The sequence below is a fragment of the Homo sapiens genome, chromosome 2 (assembly GCF_000001405.40).
Source record: "Homo sapiens chromosome 2, GRCh38.p14 Primary Assembly".
Taxonomy (NCBI): domain Eukaryota; kingdom Metazoa; phylum Chordata; class Mammalia; order Primates; family Hominidae; genus Homo; species Homo sapiens.
The window spans coordinates 138,553,846-138,577,039 of NC_000002.12; the positions used below are offsets into that span (position 1 = coordinate 138,553,846).

General features: G+C 35.0%; 1 protein-coding gene across 3 annotated transcripts in view; it reads left to right on the top strand.

The window, feature by feature from the left end:
- The window catches only part of SPOPL (speckle type BTB/POZ protein like), a 71,778-nt gene extending 52,076 nt beyond the window's left edge, over window positions 1–19,702 (top strand). For 2 of the 3 annotated variants that reach the window (XM_047444116.1, XM_047444115.1), the window contains exons 4-10: window positions 594–690; window positions 5,177–5,354; window positions 5,437–5,492; window positions 6,960–7,082; window positions 10,863–11,005; window positions 11,095–11,148; window positions 15,091–19,702. In XM_047444116.1, the coding sequence (XP_047300072.1) occupies window positions 594–690; window positions 5,177–5,354; window positions 5,437–5,492; window positions 6,960–7,082; window positions 10,863–11,005; window positions 11,095–11,148; window positions 15,091–15,235 (796 nt within the window). In that variant the 3' untranslated portion in view covers window positions 15,236–19,702. The remainder of the gene's footprint in view (window positions 1–593; window positions 691–5,176; window positions 5,355–5,436; window positions 5,493–6,959; window positions 7,083–10,862; window positions 11,006–11,094; window positions 11,149–15,090) is intronic. The other variant, NM_001001664.3, reaches the window with a different exon arrangement.
- The last annotated feature ends 3,492 nt before the right edge of the window (window positions 19,703–23,194 follow it).

Sequence of the window (23,194 nt, forward strand, 5' to 3'; positions counted from 1 at the left end):
AGTAGTCTAAATAAATATAGGTTATGCTATATAAAATTTTTAGCATCCTTACTGTAGAGTCTTCCAGAATTTTAGCAGTTATCCTAAATTTCCACATGTAAATTGTTTAAATGTTAATTTAGAACAGAAAGGATCTTAAAGGCTATTTAATCCAATTTTTAACAAAAACAAAAAATGACCAGCTAAAATAGTTTTAGAAATGAACCTTTTTAGAAAATACCTTTTTTTTTTTTTTTTTTTTTAGAATTGAAATAGTGTTTGCAGATATTTTCCTAAGTACACTGTGCTGGAACCTAGACAACCAAGAAATTCAGAAATAAGGCTGAAATTAAGATTTTTTTTTTGTATGCTTGGTATCCATATGCTACATGCTAGTGACCCCCAAAAACAAAACCCAACATGACATATATTTTAAAGTTGGCATCAATCAGATTCATTTTTGGATCCTGAAATATACATCTTTTTGCTGATATAGGTATTTATACCCTGGGCACCGTATTTAGCATAGGTGGGCAAAAGGTACTTTTAACTAACATTCTTCATGCCCTCCACTGTTTGTTCCACCCCGCTCACGGATGCCCTTCCTTCTACAGAATCTCCAGCACTGCTTGCAGAAGAGGAGGAAGCATTGCACTACCCTTCCTAAAGAACTGCCTCCTCCCCCTCCCCTGCAAGTGGTGCTGTAGACAGGTAAGGCAGTTGGGTGCTACCCTTTTTGCACAAAGCGTAACTTAATCTTGCAAGTTCCCTACAGTGGTTAAAGTAGCCAGAGATAGAGATTGGTAGCAGTGTAAGCAGCTCTGCCCTCTTTCCCAAAGTGATGCAGAAAATAGGAATTGAGAAATAAGTAGGAAAACTAGAAAACTGGTTAGTTTAATTTATCTTTTGAAATTCAACAGATTTTAAATACTCAGTCTACAGACCCATACCATTTCATGATATACAGGAAAAATGTATGTACAGATAAAATATATATAAACAAGTATTTCATGAGGTTTAACTAGCTCCTTTTTAAGGACACATCTTTTTTCCCATCCTGTTTATCTTTTGCTAAGATAGTGTCTTAGTCCATTTCGTGTTGCCATTAACAGAATACCTGAGACTAGGTAATTTTAAAAGAACAGAATTTTTATTGGCTCATGGTTCTGGAGGCTGAGAAGTCCAAGATTGAGGCTACATCTGGTGAGGTCCTTTTTCTCACATCATAACATGGTGGACATCATCACATGGTGAGAAAGAGACAGAAGAGGTGAGGGGAAGAGTGGGGGTTGTTGGAGGGTAGGAGGGTGTGTGTGTGTGTGTGTGTGTGTGTGTGTGTGTGTGTGCGAGCCAGACTCGCTTTAATAAACTCATTGTCTCAGTAAACACATTAATCCATTCATGAGGTTAGAGTCCTCATAACCTAATTACCTCTGAAAGGTCTCACCTGTCAACATTGTTGCATTGGGTATTAAATTTCCAACATATGATCTTTGTGAAATACATTCAAATCATAGCAGAGAGCCTTTCTGTTTTAAAATAATTATATATGATAGTGGGAGGAAGTTGGGATTTATTTTCTAAAAAGCCCTTTCTTGGCAAAATGAAAAGTTGACTACCCTATTTCTGTCACCAGATTTTTTTTTTAAATGACACCAATCTATGAAAATCAAAAAGTCTAAAACTCGCTATTCTGGAAGATATTCATGTGAAATTCGACTGTTAAAAGTTTCTCACTTTGGAGCCGGTGTGGTGGGTGTTTGGCTAGTTGATTAAAATGGCAAAATTGTAGTACTATTTAGCATTGGAAATTCCTGGCTTTTAGAATTAGTTGGAAAATTCAGATTTCGAAAACTGGAACCAATAGTTACCTTAGCTCTACATTAGAAGAGACCCAAATTTTTCAGGATAGTCACAGATTAGATCCCTCAAATGTTCCTTGTCTGTCTAAACTATGTTCTCTGAGTTGAGCCAAAAGCAAATTTGAAAAAGGGCTGTCAAATGACTTTGAGGTTTTGCTTTGCAACATTTAACAATTTTGAAGATTGCACATTTGCCTCTTTTTTTTTTTGAAAGAAGCATAACTTTGACCTCAGGAAAGAATCTCAGCCTTTTTCCTGAATTTTTTATTCTAGGTTCCATTCAGTAAGAGCATTCATTACCTGCATTTGAGTATGTAATAGATAAAACCAAATTTTTAACATTTTCTTAAATATAGGTGTCAAGAAAATAATCAGAATCCATTGCATATGTCAATTTTTAATTAGATCATTAATTTATGTTCTATAAGAAGTCTCTTGAATACTCTTTGGAGTATGAAGTATTAATTATGTGTCTTAGTTAAAATTTGTGGTTGCTGTGATAATACTGTGTAGATAGGTATGTCAGTAATACAGATCTTCTGAATTGTTCTTGCTTATACAAAATACAAATATAACATCAATATCTGTGTCTGATAATATTGTCTTTATTTTTTAATCCTTTTATTACCTGATTTTTTGCCAAATTTCTACATTAAATACGTTATTTTGAATTTAAGAGACAGTGAGTAGAATTCAAGAAATCATTTCTGAAATTAAATACATCATCACATTTTGTAACTCTGCTGTATGTATCATGCAAGCCATTGAACAGATCCAGTTTTTTCTGTCTAGAAATTTCAAGAGCAGTGCTTGATATGAACAAATAAATGCTGTTAGGGTCTAAAGACCTGATCCCTTACGAAACCTTGAATATTAACACCAACATTTTTTGTGTCTATATCATTAGGTTATAATGTGTAGTAGAACAGGGCAGTTGGGTAAGGATTAGTGAAACTTTTTTATAGTTATTAAAATTTTAGACATAACTTGATTAAAAACTTGATAAGATAGGAGCACCTTTATTGGCAGATTTATTTATTTATACAATATCTTGTGGCTCCCATACTTAGAGAAACATCTCCTAAGATTGTTGTAATAAATGCTTATTGGTCATAATTGTGTTAATTTTACTAATTTTTAAAAATATCAGAAAAATATTGTACGAAGAGCCGTAAAGAAAGGAATCTGGGCCAGGCACGGTGGCTCACGCCTGTAATCCCAGCACTTTGGGAGGCTGAGGCGGGTAGATCACGAGGTCAAGAGATCGAGACCATCCTGGCTAACACGGTGAAAACCCATCTCTACTAAAAATACAAAAGATTAGCTAGGAGTGGTGGCAGGCACCTGTAGTCCCAGCTACTCGGGAGGCTGAGGCAGGAGAATGGCATGAATGCAGGAGGCGGAGCTTGCAGTGAGCAGAGATCGCGCCACTGCACTCCAGCCTGGGCGACAGAGCAAGACTCCGTCTCAAAAGAAAAAAAAAAAGAATCTGGAGATTTAGGTCTAGTCTTCCTTTGGTACAAGCCAGCACAGTGTGATTTGGAACACTTTGTTTACCTTGTCTTTATCACAGTTTGAAATCTCTTTGTAAAATAAGGTGAATAGATTAGATGATTTCTGTGACACATATGATTTCAAAAGGTTAATACGTAAATTGAGGGCAAAAGCGGTTAATAAAAATATCCTCAGAAAAATAAAGATTTTCTAGTTTTTCTTTAGAAGTGTGTATTCATTCACATGAGATATATGTTTGTATGTCTGGATGTATTGGGACTTCTAAGACTTAATCTTCTCCAAACATTTTACATTGGACCATTATTAGACTTTGTTAGCATATTGGTAGTTTAGCAAATTTATTTATTTATGATTCTGTTTTCTGCATAGTTTACTGTATATATGTGTGTCCTTATTTATACTTTTATTTAATAAAAGCCTAATGAAATATTGTTAAATTAATGCAGCTATCTATTGCTGTGTAACAAATGATCCCAAAACTTAGAAGTTGAAAACAGCAGTAGATAAGTAATGTAGCACTTTTTGTTTTGTTTTGTTTTTTAAAAAAGTCATTTACTTTGAAACATTTACTAGTTAAAGTAGTATTTTCTTTAAGTGTATTTTTTTACATGTATTAAATGTAATGTGAAATTTTTAATAGCATAGTAGAATCCATTTTTTAAAAAAGTGGTCTGCAGCCAGGTGGTATGGCTCACTCCTGTAATCCCAACACTTTGGGAGGTCAAGGCAGGTGGATCACTTGAGGTCAGGAGTTCAAGACCAGCCTGGCCAACATGGTGAAATGCCTTCTCTGCTAAAAACTACAAAAATTAGCTGGGTGTGGTGGTGCACACCTGTAATCCCAGCTACTCAGGAGGTCTGAGACAGGAGAATTACTTGAACCCAGGAGGCAGCGGTTGCAGTGAGCCGAGATCACTCCACTGCACTCTAGCCTAGGCAACAGAGCCAGACTTTGTCTCAAAAATAAAAAATAAATAAATAAATTTTTTTAAAAAGTGGTGTGCAAGACTTAATAGTGTTTTAGGATATTATTCAGTATGTGGTCATCTTTTATGGGAAATAACTTGATCCATATTATATTGGAATCTCCATAAAAATAATACTGTAATCATACCTTTTATTGATTATTTCTTAAGTAAATAAAAGTCTGCAAATCGAACTAAATTATGTTGCTCTTGCTGTTGATCTTCCATAAAAGATTTTCATGAACTTTAATAATTACAGTTGCTTTTGTGGAAGTTTTTGTACCTTAAAATTTAAATCAGTTTAATATGTATTTAAATTAGTTTTACTAGAAGTGAAACATTAGGAATAACACTTTAAAAACTTCTCAATTTGCATATCATAGGCTGTAATTTTATCACTTTTTATACGGTAAAAAGTCATTTTGACTTTTAAACAAAATACTATGTTTATGTACATATAGTAAAATTTAAATGTAGGTAGGTTTGAAGTGTAAGAAAATAAAAAAAATTTTTTTCTCCACCTCACAAAGATGTACTTTTGTTTGAGTTTATATCATATTGTGGCTTTTCTATTGAGAAATATTTTTGTAATTACTTTAATAATCAAGCATTCTAACCAATTGATAAGCCATTTATTTACATAGAATAAATTGAAAAAGATCTATATTTCTAATTTTTTCATTTCTCTCCTTTAAATTGTGTTTTTAATTTCAGTTTCTGGATATTAGAAATTTTGATTAGGAGTACATTGAATTATCCAAATAAGCTTAAACATAAAAAATTGAAGTATGGACTTAAACTAATTACTGATATTACTTTGTGAAAGTGTTTTTCTTGCTGTCCCTTTTTTATTAGGTGAGTGTGGTCCAAGATTCAGTAAACATATCAGGACATACTAATACAAATACTTTGAAGGTGCCTGAGTGTCGTCTAGCAGAAGATTTAGGTAATCTCTGGGAAAACACAAGATTTACAGACTGCAGTTTTTTCGTGAGAGGACAAGAATTTAAAGCTCATAAATCTGTGCTTGCAGGTACTTTCTAGTTATGGGGTAATATAGTACATTTAAAAAAATGCATTTATGCATAAAATAATGATACATAATCTTGTTACAGCTCGATCTCCAGTTTTTAACGCCATGTTTGAACATGAAATGGAAGAAAGCAAAAAGGTAAACATGGCTTAAAGGCTAATATTGAATTTATATAAACGTAAAGTAGTTGGGTGTATGTTTTAAAAGTAATAGTACAATGTTCTCATTGTCATACTGTGATAAGCAGGGAAAATTTTTACAAACAGGAAAAAAATGTGTTCTATAATAGAACAATAGATGTAGCTCAGTGTGGATGTGCAGTCAATATTCCAGAGAACAGCTATTTTTTATGCCCTTCTGGTAGGTAAATTGGATAGTTGTTATCCAAAAGGATAGTTATCCAAAGGACTATTCTGGTCCATAGCTATTTGAGAAGTCTCTGTTCAAGGTATATATTCTCCCTTTGTAAGACTTTATGGATTGATTTTTGGAATCTGTTTTCTAGCAACAAAAATAACATAGATGACATCAGTATTATTGTATACCAACTGTAATCAGGATGTTACCTACTTGACTTCCCCAGATGTTTCTCTTTTACTTGTCATCATGAAATGTAATTATGTTAGAGATCAGAGGTTGATTCTTTGCTGTTTGCATAACTTGTGAACCGTAGGGCTCCAGCTGGACAACTCCAGAGTTTTTTCATGTGGCTCAATTTTATTCTTTCTGCAGAACTAGATGCTGCAATAAAATAACTGCTTTCTTTCTCCAAGTTTTGGTTTGGGGAGATGCTATGATCAGCCTTCTGATCACTTCCAAGTTGGGAGACATCAATGATGTCATATACTATTGACATCAAGGGGTCAGAAAAATTTGCTGTCATTTAGTTAGATATTTAGCTTTATTGATCTCAGCAAAGAAACTAAATACAAAAACACGCAGTAAAAAAGCACTCTTTGGACTTGACTATTTTTCAGGTAAGCAAGGAAGTGCCAGTATATGATAATACATGCCATTTTTGCAAATGGGAGAATTCTGAGGTAGTGGGCTTTATTGTTACCTCTAGTACCTTGCCCTACTTTTGCTTAATTCTGGGAATTAAGAACTGTTTGTTACAGGATCTTAGGTGTTGTATTAGGACCTAGGGATTCAACAAAGAAAGGGTTAATAGCCAGTGTCCTTTAGAATACTGGTCAGAAACTTAACACAGATGTATTTTATTTGGCTTATAGTTTTCTGTTTGTTTACTTGTTTTTTTTTTTTAACTTTTTAATTGAAAAATTGGGGCTCCTTTTTCCACATGGTGGTGCTTGGCTTGGTCTGAATATCAGGATATGGGCTCTCCAGCTGGTCATGGTTCCCACCTCTCCGATAGTGTATGCTTTTCCTCTTGGACTTGTCCACTTCACTTTGCCGAAGTACTTAATGAAGTTTACCTACCTCAATTTTAAAGTAGAATTTAGAAATATCTGTGTATGTATATTTGAGTTATACACTATTTTAGTGTAGATTTAGGGCTTTTAAATTACTGTCAAAGATTCACTTTGGTTCATTTGTGTGTACTTTTTTTTTTTTTAACATTTTTGTGTTGTTTTTCGATATCAGAATCGAGTGGAAATAAATGATTTAGACCCTGAAGTTTTTAAAGAAATGATGAGATTCATTTACACAGGGAGAGCACCAAACCTTGACAAAATGGCTGACAACTTGTTGGCAGCTGCAGACAAAGTAAGTAATTAGGTCTTAAGGAACCAAAATATACCCTCAAGCTTGATTTATATAGAAAGCTGTCATCAAATGAAAACTCCAAATAACTCGTATTTTGTAGATGGCTCTTGAGAGCTTTATGAAATAGCATACAGTGGGGTAATCTGGAAATGAAATTTTTTTTTAAAAGTCATGATGTGAAAGTATCTTGAGCCAGAAGGAAGTGGCTTTTTTCTTGGGAGAGTAACCTGTAAACTCAGTCGTTTTGAGTGTATATGGACTTCCATTTAAAAGAACACACACAGTGACATATATAATTTTCAGATATTTTTAGTCTTGAGATATAGTGCATGACCTTTTTTAAAAAAAGGAAAAAATATTGGATATTATGTAACTTAATTCTCTCCACATAGAGATTGTTTTTTTATTATGACAGCATAGAGCAAAAACAATATTAATAATTTTATAATACTTTTTTGTAATGATGATTTTTTTGAAGGTAGAGAAACTGCAAAAAACATCAGAAAAATCTCTAAGCCAATGGTTTTCAATCCTAAAAGCACATTCAGTATACAAGTTCACATATGCATGTATGTATGTATATATGTACGTATGCATGTGTATGTGTCGATGGATGGTATGTGTGTATATATACACATCATTTGAAAAATGTTACCATTGGGGAAATTGGACCAAGTGTGTATATGGAATCTATTTTTTCTGACAACTGCACATGAATCTATGACTGTCTCAATAAAAACTTAAATTAAAAACACCATTTACAATAGCAGCATCATCAGTATTAAATACATAGATATACATTTGAAAAAAGAGGGTTAAAACCTACACATTGAAAATTACAAAGGTATTATGTGATGCTGAGGTTTGGGGTATGATTGACCCCATCACCCAGGTAATGATGATAGTACCCAATAATAGGTAAGTTTTCAGCCCTTGCCCCCCTCCCTCTCTACCCCCTCAAGGAGTCCTCAGTGTCTGTTGTTCCCATCTTTATGTCCGTGGCATTACACAGGATACCTTTGTAACAAACCTGCACATGTATCTCCCTGTTTCTACAATAAAAGTTGAAAAGAAAAAAAGAAAATTACAAAATATGCCAAAAGAAACTCAGGAAGACTTAAATAAGTACATAAATCTTGTCCATGGACTGAAAGTCTCAATATTGTTAAAATGTCAGTTGTCTTTAAAATTGATAGTAGACGCAGCATGTTCCTCTCAAGATCCTAGCAGTCTTTTTTCTTTTTTTTTTTTCAGAAGTTGACAAGCTGATTTAAAATTTTATTATAATAACTTTGGGGAAAAAAAGAATAAAGTAGAGGACTAACACTACTTGATATCATGACTTACTATAAAGCTTTAGAAATTAAGACAGTGTTGTATTGGTGTTAAGATGGGCAAATAATGGAACAGAATAAAGAATATGAATATGAAAATAGACCATCACATTATGAATATTTAATTTTTGACAAAAGTGCAAAGACAGTTCAGTAGAAAAAGGATAATCTTTAAACAAGTGGTGCAGGAGCAGTTGAATACCTACATGTGCACCTCAAACCATGTATACAAAGTAAGGCAGGCCTCGCATGGTGGCTCACGCCTGTAATCCGAACACTTTGGGAGGCCAAAGTGAACAGATCACTTGAGGTCAGGAGTTCAAGACCAGCCTGGCCAACATGGTGAACCCTGTCTCTACTAAAAATACAAAAATGAGCTGGGTATGGTGGTGTGTGCCTGTAATCCCAGTTTCTTGGGAGGCTGAGGCAGGAGAATTGCTTGAACCCAGGAGGCAGAGGTTGCAGTGAGCCAAGATCATGCCACTGCACTCCATCCTGGGCAAAAGAGCAAGATTCCATCTCAAAAAAAAAAAAAAAAAAAAGTAATGCAAAATGGATCATAAACCTAAAATCTAAACCTCTAAAAGAAAACATAAAAGAAAGTGTTTGTGATGTTAGGTTAGGCAGAGATTTCTTAGCTGTGACACCAAAAATTCTGTAAAAGAAAAAAAATGATAAAATAGACTTCAATAAAATTTCAACTTCTTTTCTTCGAAAGACAGAATAAAAAGATTAGCCACAAACTGGGAGAAAATATTTGCACAGCAGATATCTAATGAACAACTTTTATTCAGAATATATCTGACTTTTGTATTCAGACTATATAAAGAATTCTCAAAACTCAGTTATAAGAAAACAATGTTATTTCTAAAAGACAAAACGTTTGAGCAAACATTTTCTGAAATAATGTCTGAAATACATAAAAAGATATTCTAGTCAAGCATGGTGGCTCACACCTGTAATCCCAACACGTTAGGAGGCCTGGGCTGGAATATCACTTGAGCCCAGGGGTTTGAAACCAGCCTATGCAACATAGTAAGTCCCCATCTCTACAAAAAAAAATTTTTTTAATTAGCCTGGTGTGGTGCCATGTGCCTTTAATCCCAGCTACTCAGGAGGCTGAGATGGGAGGATTCCTTTAGCCCAGGAGGTCAAGACTATAATGAGCCCTAATTGTGCCACTGCACTCCAGCCTGGGCAACAGAGCAAGACCCTGTCTCAAAAATGAAAGATACTCAACATCATTAGGTCGTTAGGGAAATGTAAATTCAAGCCATCATTAGATATTCCTGCACATCATTATAATGGCTAAAAGTACAAAGACCATACTAAGTGTTATCAAGGATGTGGAAGAATAGAATTCTCATGTTAAAGACACGGAAAAATTAGGGCTCTCGTGTGCTGTTGATGGAAATGTAAAATGGTACAACCACTTTGGAAAAGTGTTTGACAGTTTCTCAGAAAGTTAAACATAAACTTACACTGTGATCCAGTGAGTCCAATTTTAGGTTTTTACCTAAGTGGAAAGAAAGCATATGCCCATACAGACACTTGTATATGACTAACAGCTTCATTTGTAACAGCCAAGAACTGGTAACAACCCAAATATTCATCAGCAGTTGAATGTGTAAAACATATTGTTGTATATCTATGTATGATGGAATAAAAAGGATTGAACTATTGATAGGCAATAACATTCATGATTCTCAAAATAATTATACTGAATGAAGGAGTCAGACAAAAACAAACATGTAATATGTTATTTCATTTATAGAAAACTCCAGAAAATGCAGACTAATCTATAGTGATAGAAAGCATATCAGAGGTATCACCTAGGGTGGGGCAAGAGGGAAAGATTACAAAGATGTAGAGGGAAACTTTGAGGGACAATTGGTATATTTATTGTAGAGTTAATGATGGTTTTATGGCTGTATAAACTTAGCAGAAGGTGAACCTTATGTGTACTTTATTGTGTGTCAGTTATACCTTAGTAAAGCTGCTCAACATGTTATATAACATACACTAATACCTGCAAGAATGTTTAGTGGTTATAAATACGATTTATTTAACGTTACAATGAATTCATCCTTCAATACTGAGTGGTGGCAACATGCAGTATACTTGGTGGTACACATTAGTGTTTGAAGTAGTAGACAAGAGAAGTATATTTATTAAGAATATTGAGTAATAAGGTAGCTTTTTAGAATAAATCCTACTTCAAAAATACGCTTATGCAAATTGCAGTTTCCTAAAGAAAATTAGTCTTTCTTCTAAGTGCATTTGTTTATATTTACTTCGTATTAGGTTAAAACAGTAACTTAAAGAATTTTAAAATAATCTTAAATAATAATCTATTTTACCCTTATTTTCCAAGTTGCAAATGTATCATGTATTCAGGAACTTAGTTGGAGTAAATGTTTAATGGTTATGTTTTCATTTTGGATAGTATGCACTGGAACGGCTGAAGGTCATGTGCGAAGAAGCTTTGTGTAGTAACCTCTCAGTAGAGAATGTTGCAGATACCCTTGTCCTTGCAGATTTGCACAGTGCAGAACAGTTGAAAGCACAAGCCATAGACTTTATTAATAGGTAAGCTATGCTTGTATTTCAGTGGGCATGACAACTTCAATATTTTTTCTCTGGACTTTTTTTTAAGTATGTTTAAATCTTCAATGCAGGTGCAGTGTACTTCGACAACTTGGGTGTAAAGATGGGAAAAACTGGAACAGCAAGTAAGATGACATCAGTTTCTGACTCAAAGTTGCTCTACATAAGTGAGATTAAGTGTTTGCATAGCCTTTTGTTCATCTACAATAAGTATGAATCCAAATGTTACATGAAGCAAACTGCCAGTTATTAAAAACAAACAAAGACTACTTAGTGGATTCCTGAGGCTATGCTCCCTTGTAGGTCAGCTTCTAATGCAACCTCGGATGGATGCTGTAATATCTTAAGCGCATAATGCCATGTAGTATATAGCAGAGTCCAGGTATTGCTAGAGATCTAGTCCATGCCCCTTCAGAAAGCATTCCAAAAAGTGTGGGAAATAATTCATTTACTCCTATGAGGAATGTTACCCTCCAGATTTGCTGAGAAAGCCTTTACATTTGAAGGCTGACTCACTGCTTCTTAGGTTAGCCAGGTACCTTGAGTAATATGCTATATTAGGCTAGCTTCCTAATAGTCCAAAAATGGTAGCAATTTGATATTCCCTTTTCCCTAGTGAACCTGTAAGGGGTTGGATAGTTGCTATATCTTTCTAAGACTGGATCTTGTGAATATGAACATACTATTCTACTTTTTTCCCTTCTCTTACTTTTCATGACTTTTATATTCTTTGTTATTATTTGAAATCACAATGGGGAAAGAAGTCAATAGGTTGAAGTGTTTGCATCTGCTTTTGATTAGTTTTGCCTATAAACCCTTAAATTTCCTTTCCTCAAATTATCAAAAGTTGATAAAAGAAAGTGGGAATTTTTTTTTTTTTTTTGAGACAGAGTCTCACACTGTTGCCCTGGCTGGAGTGCAGTGGTGTGATCTCGGCTCACTGCGAGCTCCACCTCCTGGGTTCACGCCATTCTCCTGCCTCAGCCTCCCAAGTAGCTGGAACTACAGGCGCCCGCCACCACACCTGGCTCATTTTTTTGTATTTTTAGCAGAGACGGGTTTTCACCGTGGTAGCCAGGATGGTCTCGATCTCCTGACCTCATGATCCGCCTGTCTTGGCCTCCCAAAGTGCTGGGATTACAGAAGTGAGCCACCGTGCCCGGCCAAAAATTTTTAAAGAAGGAAATGAATTAGTTTGTTGACTTAATTATTTCCCATTGCTTTAATCTGTTTTGATATATGTTAAGTTGTTTAACTGAGTTCATCTTATTAGTTTGTAGATTCTGTTTTCTGAAAGTAAAAAGTAGTGACTACTTTAAAATTATTGGTTGTCTTGTATAATACGTTGGTCAGTGTATGCTAATATGATATCATTATGGCATTTGATCCTAGAGAAAAATTGTTTTGAGTTTAAAGTATACTATATTAGCATCAAATGGCAATTTATGATCCTTTGTACTTAGCCATTTTCAAGCTCTAGTTTTACTCTAAGGAAATACTTCACATTTTATAACTTTTTCAGTGTCAAAAAAAATAGCTTGTTTTGTACCCCCTTGGAGAAGCTGTATTCATATTCATCAATAGATATTTATTAATAAATGAAAAAGGTGTAATTGGTATCTATGTGATTCTAAACAACTAATTGAAATTTTGAACACAATGACACACTGGTATTAGGCTGATGCAAAAGTAATTGCAGATTTTGGCATTACTTTTAATGGCAAAAACCACAATTACTTTTGCACCAATCTAATAATTTGATGTTTGCCAACTTAAAAAATTGTTTTGTTGGTATCAGCTACTATTTAGTTCAGCAGACATTACTCTAGCATCTTCTGTGTTTCAAGTACAATGCTAGGGTGCTGCATATAAAAAAAATTTCAAGGGAAAATTCTTGGTCTTGGGAAAGTTATCTAATAGAGATAGATATATAAATATATCATTTCATTATAATATGGTAAGTAATACAATAGAAGAGAATATGTACAAGCACTTGACTAACCCTGGAAATTTAGAAATGGCTTCCTGGATATAGCTGAGTCTTAAAACACAAATAGGAGTTAGCAGAAGTAAGAAGGAAGTAGCAAGCATTGCAGACAGAAGGGACAGCATGAACCAAAGTATAGAAGCGTAAAGTAGTAGTTGATCATTCATTTGACAGATACTTATCCTTTATTATCCAGTAAATTCCCAAGTCACAGTGCACAGTATAGAGAATACAGTGGTGAGCATGACATATATTTTCCCTGCCTTCACGGAGTTTATGGTCTAGCAGCAGATTAAACAGCTAATTGCAGTAAAGCGTGATGATAGGGAATATGTAGCATACCCATAGGAGCATATAGCAGAGACTTAACCTAATCTAGGAATCAGAGCACAAAACTAAATGCCGGAAATATTGTAGAGGTTACCTTGGTGAAGAAGAGGGAAGAGAGGAAGAAAAGTACACCCCAGAAAAAGGAAATGAGATGCGCAAAGTTTTAACAATGAGAAAGAGCAGTATAGTGTGTGTGTGTGTGTGTGTGTGTGTGTGTGTGTGTGTGTGTGTGTGTGTGTGTGTGTGTGTTGCGGGCGGGGAGGTAGTTAATGAGAAGAAGCTGGAGAAAGTAGGCAGAGATCAGACCCTGAAAGGCCATGTAAAATAACATTAGAATTTTTAGATATTCAGAGTAGTAGGTGTCCAGTAAAGGGTTTTCACCCAGAGTGGGACATGATTAGTTTTGCATTTTTAACAATCTCTGCATGCAGGGTGGAGAACGAATTGTGGGGAGGTTGCGGTGGCAATAGTAGTTGAGAAACAAGGTTGAATACAGGTAGACCAGTTGGAAAGTTACTAGAGTAGTTCAGGCAAGAGATGAACGGTGGAAATTAGACTTGATTGGTGACAGTGGGGCTAGAGAGAAAAGAAAGTAAGAAATATTTTGAAGGGAGAATCTAATATTTGGATATTATTTGGATGGTAGATGGCATAAAGTAGAGAATTGAGGCAAGGAAGGGTAACTAGATTTGTTGCTTAAGCATTTATTTACGGTTATTGTTTGGTGAGAGCATAGTGTACATAGGGTACAATAAGCAGTTCAATATCAGAGTATAAAATGCCAGATCATGGAAGTGGGAGGTAGGAAGTGGGGGGTAGAGTAAGAAACCAAACATAATATGATGCTGTATTTCTCTTTCTAAAAAACTTGGATATGGGCAGTGGGGAACAATGAAGAGGGCCTCATATAGTCATATTTGTGTTACCAAGGGAACATTATGGAAGCTTGGTTTAAGAGGAGCAGGAAACTAGAAGACCACTTAGGAGTCTGTTGTCATAATCCAAACGTGAGATGATGTGGGCCTTAAACTGGGATTCAGGACATCTTTGAAGCCTTTCAAACCTTAAAATAAGGTTTTGATGATTGGAGAGGAGAGTCTAGGGTGACTGCCAGATTTCCAGCTTGCATCACTGGATGATGGTGGAAGCTTTAGGTGACTGGAAAGGTAGGAGGAAGAATTTGGGGTTGGGGAGAGGGATGATGAGCTCTCATCTGACAATCCTGAATTTATGGGTCTTGAGGCACATCCAAGTGAAAAAAACAAGTGGCTGCGAATGAACCTTGTGTGGAACCCTAGAATTTAGCAAATCGGTAGTTAACATCATTGAATTTCATAGTTAAAATTGTGAAGAGTGGATGAGATAGAATTAGTAATGCATGTTAAGGGGGGAGAGTAGAGTCCAATATTTGTAACTCAAGAGAAAATCTGCCTTATAAGAGGCATGTAAAAGAAGAGAAAGGGACTCTTGAAAGAGCTGGTACAGAAATTGTAACAATGAGAGTTGAACTATGAAGACCCATGTCACATACTTTAAGGGAGCCGAACTTCCAGAAAAATTTAATAGTTTCAGTTGCCACAGAAGATACCAGTAAGATAAAGATGGTATTTTAATAAAAGCAAATGATTTGAATACATAGGTAAAAAGTGTTCAAATATTTTGAAATTTGCAAGTTTTTAAGAAATTAACAGTGCAATAGTGCATTTTGAAAAGTATTCTTTAGTAAATATCTTTTAATTCTATTTTTCAGCCAAGCAACCGACATAATGGAAACATCAGGGTGGAAGTCCATGATTCAGTCTCACCCTCATTTAGTAGCAGAAGCCTTTCGAGCACTAGCATCTGCACAGTGTCCACAGTTTGGCATTCCACGCAAACGGCTAAAACAGTCCTGAAATCTTCCATGAACAGTTGAAAAATGGAATTGACTTTCACTCCTCCAGGTCCAGAAGGATTCTAATACACAAACCATAAGCAAGAGTTGTTTCTGTTATTTTGTCCACAGAACAGAAGCTGAAAAAGCATATTGCTTGCATTTCAGGTGGATAATTTATGGTTTATTCTTCAGCTTTAAATTAGACTGATTAATTCACTTCAAGGCCTTAAATTATCTTCAATGACTTGTCTTGTTCATATAATACTTTAATTTTTTTTTATTGTGCCTTGTCATTTTGACCAAGGCTATGCAGGATTGCACTAGCTCCATAATGCAGTAATATTGATAACTGAAGATACTAAGTTTCAAAAGGATCTTCCATTATTTTGCAAAAAGAAAAATGAATTTTATAGGGTTTGTCCTATGCTATCTCAAAGTTTAAGTTCTCTTTAAAAGCACTTGTATTGGAGATTACCAGTAATATCTCCAATCTAAGTTCTATAAATATGGGAGAACCCTCTTACCTTCAAGGTAAGTTATGGCAATACACTGCTTCAATTCTAATTTATTTTTCATTTCAGGGGGCAAATATGCAATGAGTTGGCCTAGATTTTTAGTGACATTTATGATGTTTGTCTTGTATGTTAACTGTCCAACAAACTGTGGGTTTATTCTAAGTTTACAATTATTGAGAACTGATTGAGGTTAAGATTTCATGAAGAAAGCATGTATTGTGTGGAAGTAATTTTTTTTTAATTTATACTGACCTACATTTATACGAAGAATTCTGTACATGTTAAAAGTAAGGATGACCAAATGCAAATTTAATGAGTGGGCCAATTAAGAAAGATACATATGCACTTTTACTGTGTAACTTTTGTATGCTGAATGGTACATATATTTTTTTGCTTTTGAGGGAATTAATAAGGTATAATTAATTGTGTCTTAACTTTTCAAAGAAATTTTTAGATGGAGGCAACTGGGATGTTTGTGATAATAGATGAGAAAGACATCCTTGATTGTAGTTAAATTGGTTTGGATTACAGATATTCATTATTGAATTGACTCCTATTTTCTCACACTTTGGAAAAGACACCTGAACAATAAATGAATCCTGGATAGTCTACTCTCCTTCAAACAATTAACTGATACTTGCCTTTGGGAGATGCATACAAAAGGAGAGAACCCTTAGACTATGTCAGGTCACACTAGGAACCTCCCCTCACTCCCCGTTTTTCTTCATTGTGTTTCAGTTACTGTACTAACATTGTGGATGATACTGAAATTCTGCATAATGTGAACAGGATAAACTATTTATAAACTGCTTTTCATGGGCCAGTTCTTTATTATAAATGAATTTTAGCTTTAAATGCATATACACGTTCAGTGTTTGATAGTTGTGTTCTTAAGGGAGGTTTGTTCTGGTGCATTGTCCTGGAGAAGCAGAAGCAGTCAGTGTTGGGGTACCACATCTGACTTACTGTGGTGGTGACCAGTGTGCTTCTTAAGGGCAAGATTTATATTTGACCACAAGGGAAAAAGTGTGTCACTGGAAAAAAACGCATATACCTATGTTTGCAAACATAACTATTCTTCAGATTAAAATTTGTATAATTTGTTTATTTAATGTTTGAATTCAGGACAAAAGAAAAAATGAAGCTTGAGGTGTTTTCAAATAGACCTTATTTTTGCTATCTCTTTGTTAGGTGTTAACTGAAGCAATTCGAATATGTCCAGATTCATTTGGATTCATATTTACATTGAAAAAACTCAACTAAGCATTTGTTATCCACAACAACCTAGAGTTTAAAAAGATCGTATTTTCACCTGTCTTCATTACTTTCTATGTAGTTTCATTCTTTGTCGTGGTAACTTAAATTTGAAATTGGAAGAATCTCTTGGGATAGAAGAAAGATTCTTACCTGGTGATGGAACTTCATACTTCATCCTGTGTAAGAGTATTATGGGAAGTAGAAATTCACTTCCTTAAATCCATCGTAAGATTGAGCCTCAAGTTTGCAATATACAATTTTAAAAATACACATACATACATACATATGTATACATTTCCAGTTTTAAGATTTTGCGAGGGTCTTATAAGAAAACAAAAATTCCCTCAGGCTATAGAATTATGTTGTCATATATCAGAAAAGTACTGATGTATCCATTTATATCCAATGCGCACCACACCGGCACATTGTGATTTAATTCACCGCTTGAATCTATATTTCTAACCACAGTGACTTCAGTAAAAATACCGTATAATGAACATTTCAGCTTCTTCTTACTTACTCGAGAGTTTATTGCAAATCTTAAGGATTTTATTATAAAGATTTTTTTTTTAGTTTGGTAGCACATTTTGTACCAAAAATGTCAAACACTGTGCTGTAAGAATATCCATGTTTGTAGAAATGTCCACTTTTCAGATAATATAATGCCTACCATTATACTAACAGAATCATATGGTAGTTGATTTATTTTTTTATTTATTATGTATATTTTTGGTATTGTGGGTTCTTGAGGCAATGATAAAAACACTTAATGTATTCTGACATGAGTGCTCTAATAGCCTCCTTCTCCTCATTTTTAAACTGCATACATTACTTTCAAAATAGGTATAGATACTCTGTCCCGCCTTTTGAGCTATTAGCCTGTTCCTGTTTCCCTTTGTCACCTAAGCAAGGCTTTTTCTGAGAAGGTAGTGAATGGTTTCAAATGTTGCATACTATAAGAATAATCATTGGGTAACTGTTGTTTAGACCAACACTTAGAAATACTATATTTGTGCCTTTTCATTTTTAATTTTAATGTGTGTTGATATTTGGAGCACAAATAATGAAGGTGCCATAATATGGCTTGCCAATGTTACCTCCTTGAATAGTCATGTGTCATTGTCTTGAATTGGTAATTGGAGAACCTTGCATGAAATATGTGATCGTGTGTGTGTGTGTGTATGCGCGTGTGTGTCTGTGTGTTTGTGTACATACCTGTATTTGCTTGGGGCTTGTGTGTGGTATGTTACAAAGAGTGAATTTCTGGAAATAGAAATCAGTTAAATGTTGAAAGTTCAGGTTAGCAGAAATATTTCATTTAAATATGCTTTACTTTGGAGGACAATTGATTAACAGAGGAAATGATAATTTTCAAAAATGTGATCAATTTACTGCATGATGAAATGTGAAAACAGTGCCTTTTTAGGACATCAATTATAATAAAATTGTTTTAAAATATTAACAAAGATCTCAAAAAGTTGTCATGAACATTATTCATTTATTTTTAAACTGGATCTAAATAAGAGCTTAGATGGCCAAAATTAGAATTAATAATATACCCATTTAAATTTTGTTCATAAATTTAAAATCTTAATCAGAATTCTTTATAAAATGTGGGTCATAGATATGACCCAGTGTTACTAAAATAGAACAGGGATTGTGAAAATCCAGCTCAACATACTTAAGTATACTTGGCTTAGAGCCAAGTATACTTGAAGAGGTGAATTATTCTGACTTGGACATGCATGCTCTTTGATGGATAAAATAAAAATATTCAATTTATTCTTACAAAAGAAGGTGGGTGGGTGAGTGGGTTCGTTTTAGTGTTCTCAGATTATAAAGACAGCTATAAAGACAGCACTTTCCGCACACAAAGTGTATTTTACAAACCTTTTTTATACAAATTAATGAGCTCTACTTTATTTAAGTGTTCATGGAATGATGTAAATTTTAGGTCCAGTTGAACAAATATTGAGTGCCTATCATATGCAAGACTAACTCCTTACTAGGAATGAAATCACACAGTGTCTTCTGTTTGCAGTATGTGAACTTTATGTTTGAAAAGAAATTATTATATTTAAATTTTTTTGTTGTCAGAGTTTATCATTGTATACTGTAACCCAGTAAATTTTGCATTCAGTTTTAAAAAATGAAGATGTAACTTACCTGAGTCTCATTTTTGAAAATGAAATTCTGCAAAAATTATTTAAAAATTAGTTCTTGGGGAAATTGATTTTCAAGATTCAAGTGTATAAAAACTTATATTGAACTTTTCAGCCTCGTTTTTAATTAGCTGATGTTAATGATAAGATACATAATACATGTATCTTGTTGCTGAAAATATTTTTTGCATTTCAACACATTGAGTTAAAATAAAGTTGTTACTACTTATTCAAGATTAATTGGCTTATCTTGTGTTTATTTGAAGAATACATACTCTTCTTTTTCAGGTTGGTATGATGCTTTGCAAAAGAGCCATGTATTTGATACGGTAAATCATGCATAGTAATTGTCTTTTCTACATAGGGGAGCTCTTGTTTTTTGGAACCAATTGAAGACATTCTTAACTGTAAAATATTAATATGCATTTATTTTAATATGTATGAACCATCAATACTGGATGACTTATTCTAATGCTACGTACCATTAATGTAACAGAGATCACCTTTTCCCTGTCATTCCTATCCTGTCTTAATTTCAGTTATCCCAGACAATTTAATCATTTGATGCTATCAGAAAGCAAATTGGGGCAGGATATTCCTGAATCAGTTTAGTAACAGTAACGCAATTAGTGCTTTAAAATTATGGCCAATATAGTAGTAGAAAGGCACAGTGAAAAACCTTCCATGTACCTCAGACACACATACATGCACTGAATTTTCCCTAATAGAATGAAAGAGGGTTGAAAAATTTAGCACATCATCTATGCAAGTATAGTAAAGTAAGATAAGTGGTTAATAATATTGTAAATGTTACTAATGAACTCTGTGTAACCTTTTGCTTCCTCCTCTGCTGCAGCCAGTCCCCTTAATACTTTGAGAACACTGGGATGTGATGTCTCCGTCTGCCACCTCAGAATCATTTGTTCCTACGAGAAGGCCAAGAGTGGTACTTGCTTTGATCACTGTTTTTAAATAGAAGACACATTGGTAGAAATCTTTCATATAATATGTTGCTGCTTTTGGGGGGGTGTTGGGGAGTACCAGAGAGGTCTGCATGCATCTGCAGTGTACACTGGCAAACAAAAGGTTTGTCATTCCCGTTGTCCTGTTGTGCTTCCTTTCCACCTCTCCCTGGCTGTTCCCCCACCCCCTTGTTCCTTTTGTAAAGGATGCAGGTGTAGTCTTGTGCCAGTCTGTGACATAACACCTGAACAATTTCTATGGTATCCTACCCATTTGCTCAGATTCAAACCAGGCCTTAATCGATAACAAGCAAAGAGAAAAAAAGGTGGGATTTGTAAATAACAATTACAGCAAAAAAAAAAAAAAAAAAAAAAAACACTGAGAACTCTGCTATTCTGCTTAAAATAGATATATTGCCATAAGGAGAGGTTTTTAGAATGTGTGTTTTATAAAGTCCTAAAAAAATTGTGATGGTCATTATAATAGGCAAAGATGAAAAATGAGAATGGCATGAGTTGAAAAAAGGTACTAAAGTTAGATGCATTAAATTTGATCAACACCAGAAATGATAAAGCAGACATTTGAATCAGTAGAAGACAAGGTTGAGAAATGTTTCCAGATTATGAGGACAAGAATAGAGAGATGAAGAAAAAGACAATTCAGTTTAATTTATATTAGCAGTTAATTAAATGGAGTACCTGGCACTGTGTGGAGCTGTTTGCAGTGATGAAATAGTCTGTGTGTTCATGAAGTTTATTTTCTTGAAGAAAATGCAGTCATATAATAGCATGTGATAATTGTGATAGGAATACAAGAGGAGCCCCTAGCCTAGGGGTGAGGGTGGAAGTCCCAGATGGCTTTTCTGAGTAAGCGATGTCTAAATTGAGATTCAGTGGAAATTAAGCAGCTTAGTGAGGGTGTCATCCAGCCCATTATTTGAAGTCTTAGAGGCTGACCAAGGTTCATATAGAACATTTATAGAAATGAAAATGAAGATGGCTATATCCTACTGTGTAAAGGGAAGAAAGGACTAACATAAACCAGTAAGACAGGGTTACAGTTTATTATAGGCCTTATTAAAGGAACCTGACTTAACCTGGGAGGACTGAAGTGTTTCAAATGGGGGTATGTCATGCTGATCAACAATCTATCAATCTTCACATAGTTTGGAGGGGGCTTTTTCCATTAAGGGGAGATTTAAGAGGAAACACTGAAACAACTTGAAAATAAATTGTGTAGGTAGAAGGGAGAAAGAGGAGTTAAGAGTGGCTTCCAGGTTCCAGGTTTTGTGTTTGGCTAACTGGGTGGAGGGTAGTATTGTTCCCTGATACAGTAATCACAAGAATGGGAATATTTTTGGAAAAAAAAATTTCATTTGGAGGCTGTTGAACTTACTGTTCCTATGGTGCATTCTGTTCCTATGGTGATTCAAAGATCAGATGGTTGTAGATGTGTGGTATTATTTCTGAGGGCTCTGTTCTGTTCCATTGATCTATATCTCTGTTTTGGTACCAGTACCATGCTGTTTTGGTTACTGTAGCCTTGTAGTATAGTTTGAAGTCAGGTAGCATGATGCCTCCAGCTTTGTTCTTTTGGCTTAGGATTGTCTTGGCAATGCAGGCTCTTTTTTGGTTCCATATGAATTTGAAAGTAGTTTTTTCCAATTCTGTGAAGAAAGTCATTGGTGGCTTGATGGGGATGGCATTGAATCTATAAATTACCTTGGGCAGTATGGCCATTTTCACGATATTGATTCTTCCTATCCATGAGCATGGAATGTTCTTCCATTTGTTTGTGTCCTCTTTTATTTCGTTGAGCAGTGGTTTGTAGTTCTCCTTGAAAAGGTCCTTCACATCCCTTGTAAGTTGGATTCCTGGGTATTTTATTCTCTTTGAAGCAATTGTGAATGGGAGTTCACTCATGATTTGGCTCTCTATTTGTCTGTTATTGGTGTATAAGAATGCTTGTGATTTCTGCACATTGATTATGTATCCTGAGACTTTGCTGAACTTGCTTATCAGCTTAAGGAGATTTGGGGCTGAGATGATGGGGTTTTCTAAATATACAGTCATGTCATATGCAAATGGACAATTTGACTTCTTTTCCTAATTGAATGCCCTTTATTTCCTTCTCCTGCCTGATTGCCCTGGCCAGAACTTCCAACACTATGTTGAATAGGAGTGGTGAGAGAGGGCATCCCTGTCTTGTGCCAGTTTTCAAAGGGAATGCTTCCAGTTTTTGCCCATTCATTATGATATTGGCTGTGGGTTTGTCATAGATAGCTCTTATTATTTTGAGATATGTCCCATCGATACCTAATTTATTGAGAATTTTTAGCATGAAGCACTGTTGAATTTTGTCAGAGGCCTTTTCTGCGTCTATTGAGATAATCGTGGTTTTTGTCTTTGGTTCTGTTTATATGCTGGATTATGTTTATTGATTTGCATATGTTGAACCAGCCTTTCATCCCAGGGATGAAGCCCACTTGATCATGGTGGATAAGCTTTTTGATGTGCTGCTGGATTCGGTTTGCCAGTATTTTATTGAGGATTTTTGCATCGATGTTCATCAGGGATATCGGTCTAAAATTCTCTTTTTTTGTTGTGTCTCTGCCAGGCTTTGGTATCAGGATGATGCTGGCCTCATAAAATGAGTTAGGGAGGATTCCCTCTTTTTCTATTGATTGGAGTAGTTTCAGAAAGAATGGTACCAGCTCCTCCTTGTACCTCTGGTAGAATTCAGCTGTGAATCTGTCTGGTCCTGAACTTTTTTTGGTTGGTAGGCTATTAATTAATGCCTCAATTTCAGAGCCTGTTATTGGCCTATTCAGGGATTCAACTTCTTCCTGGTTTAGTCTTGGGAGGGTGTTTGTGTTGAGGAATTTATCCATTTCTTTTAGATTTTCTAGTTTATTTGCATAGAGGTGTTTATAGTATTCTCTGATGGTAGTTTCCGGCCGGGTGTGGTGGCTCATGCCTACAATCCAGCACTTTGGGAGGCTGAGACAGGCAGATCGCTTGACCCTGGGAGTTCAAAAACCCCATCTCTACAAACACTGCAAAAATTTTGTATTTGGGGTCA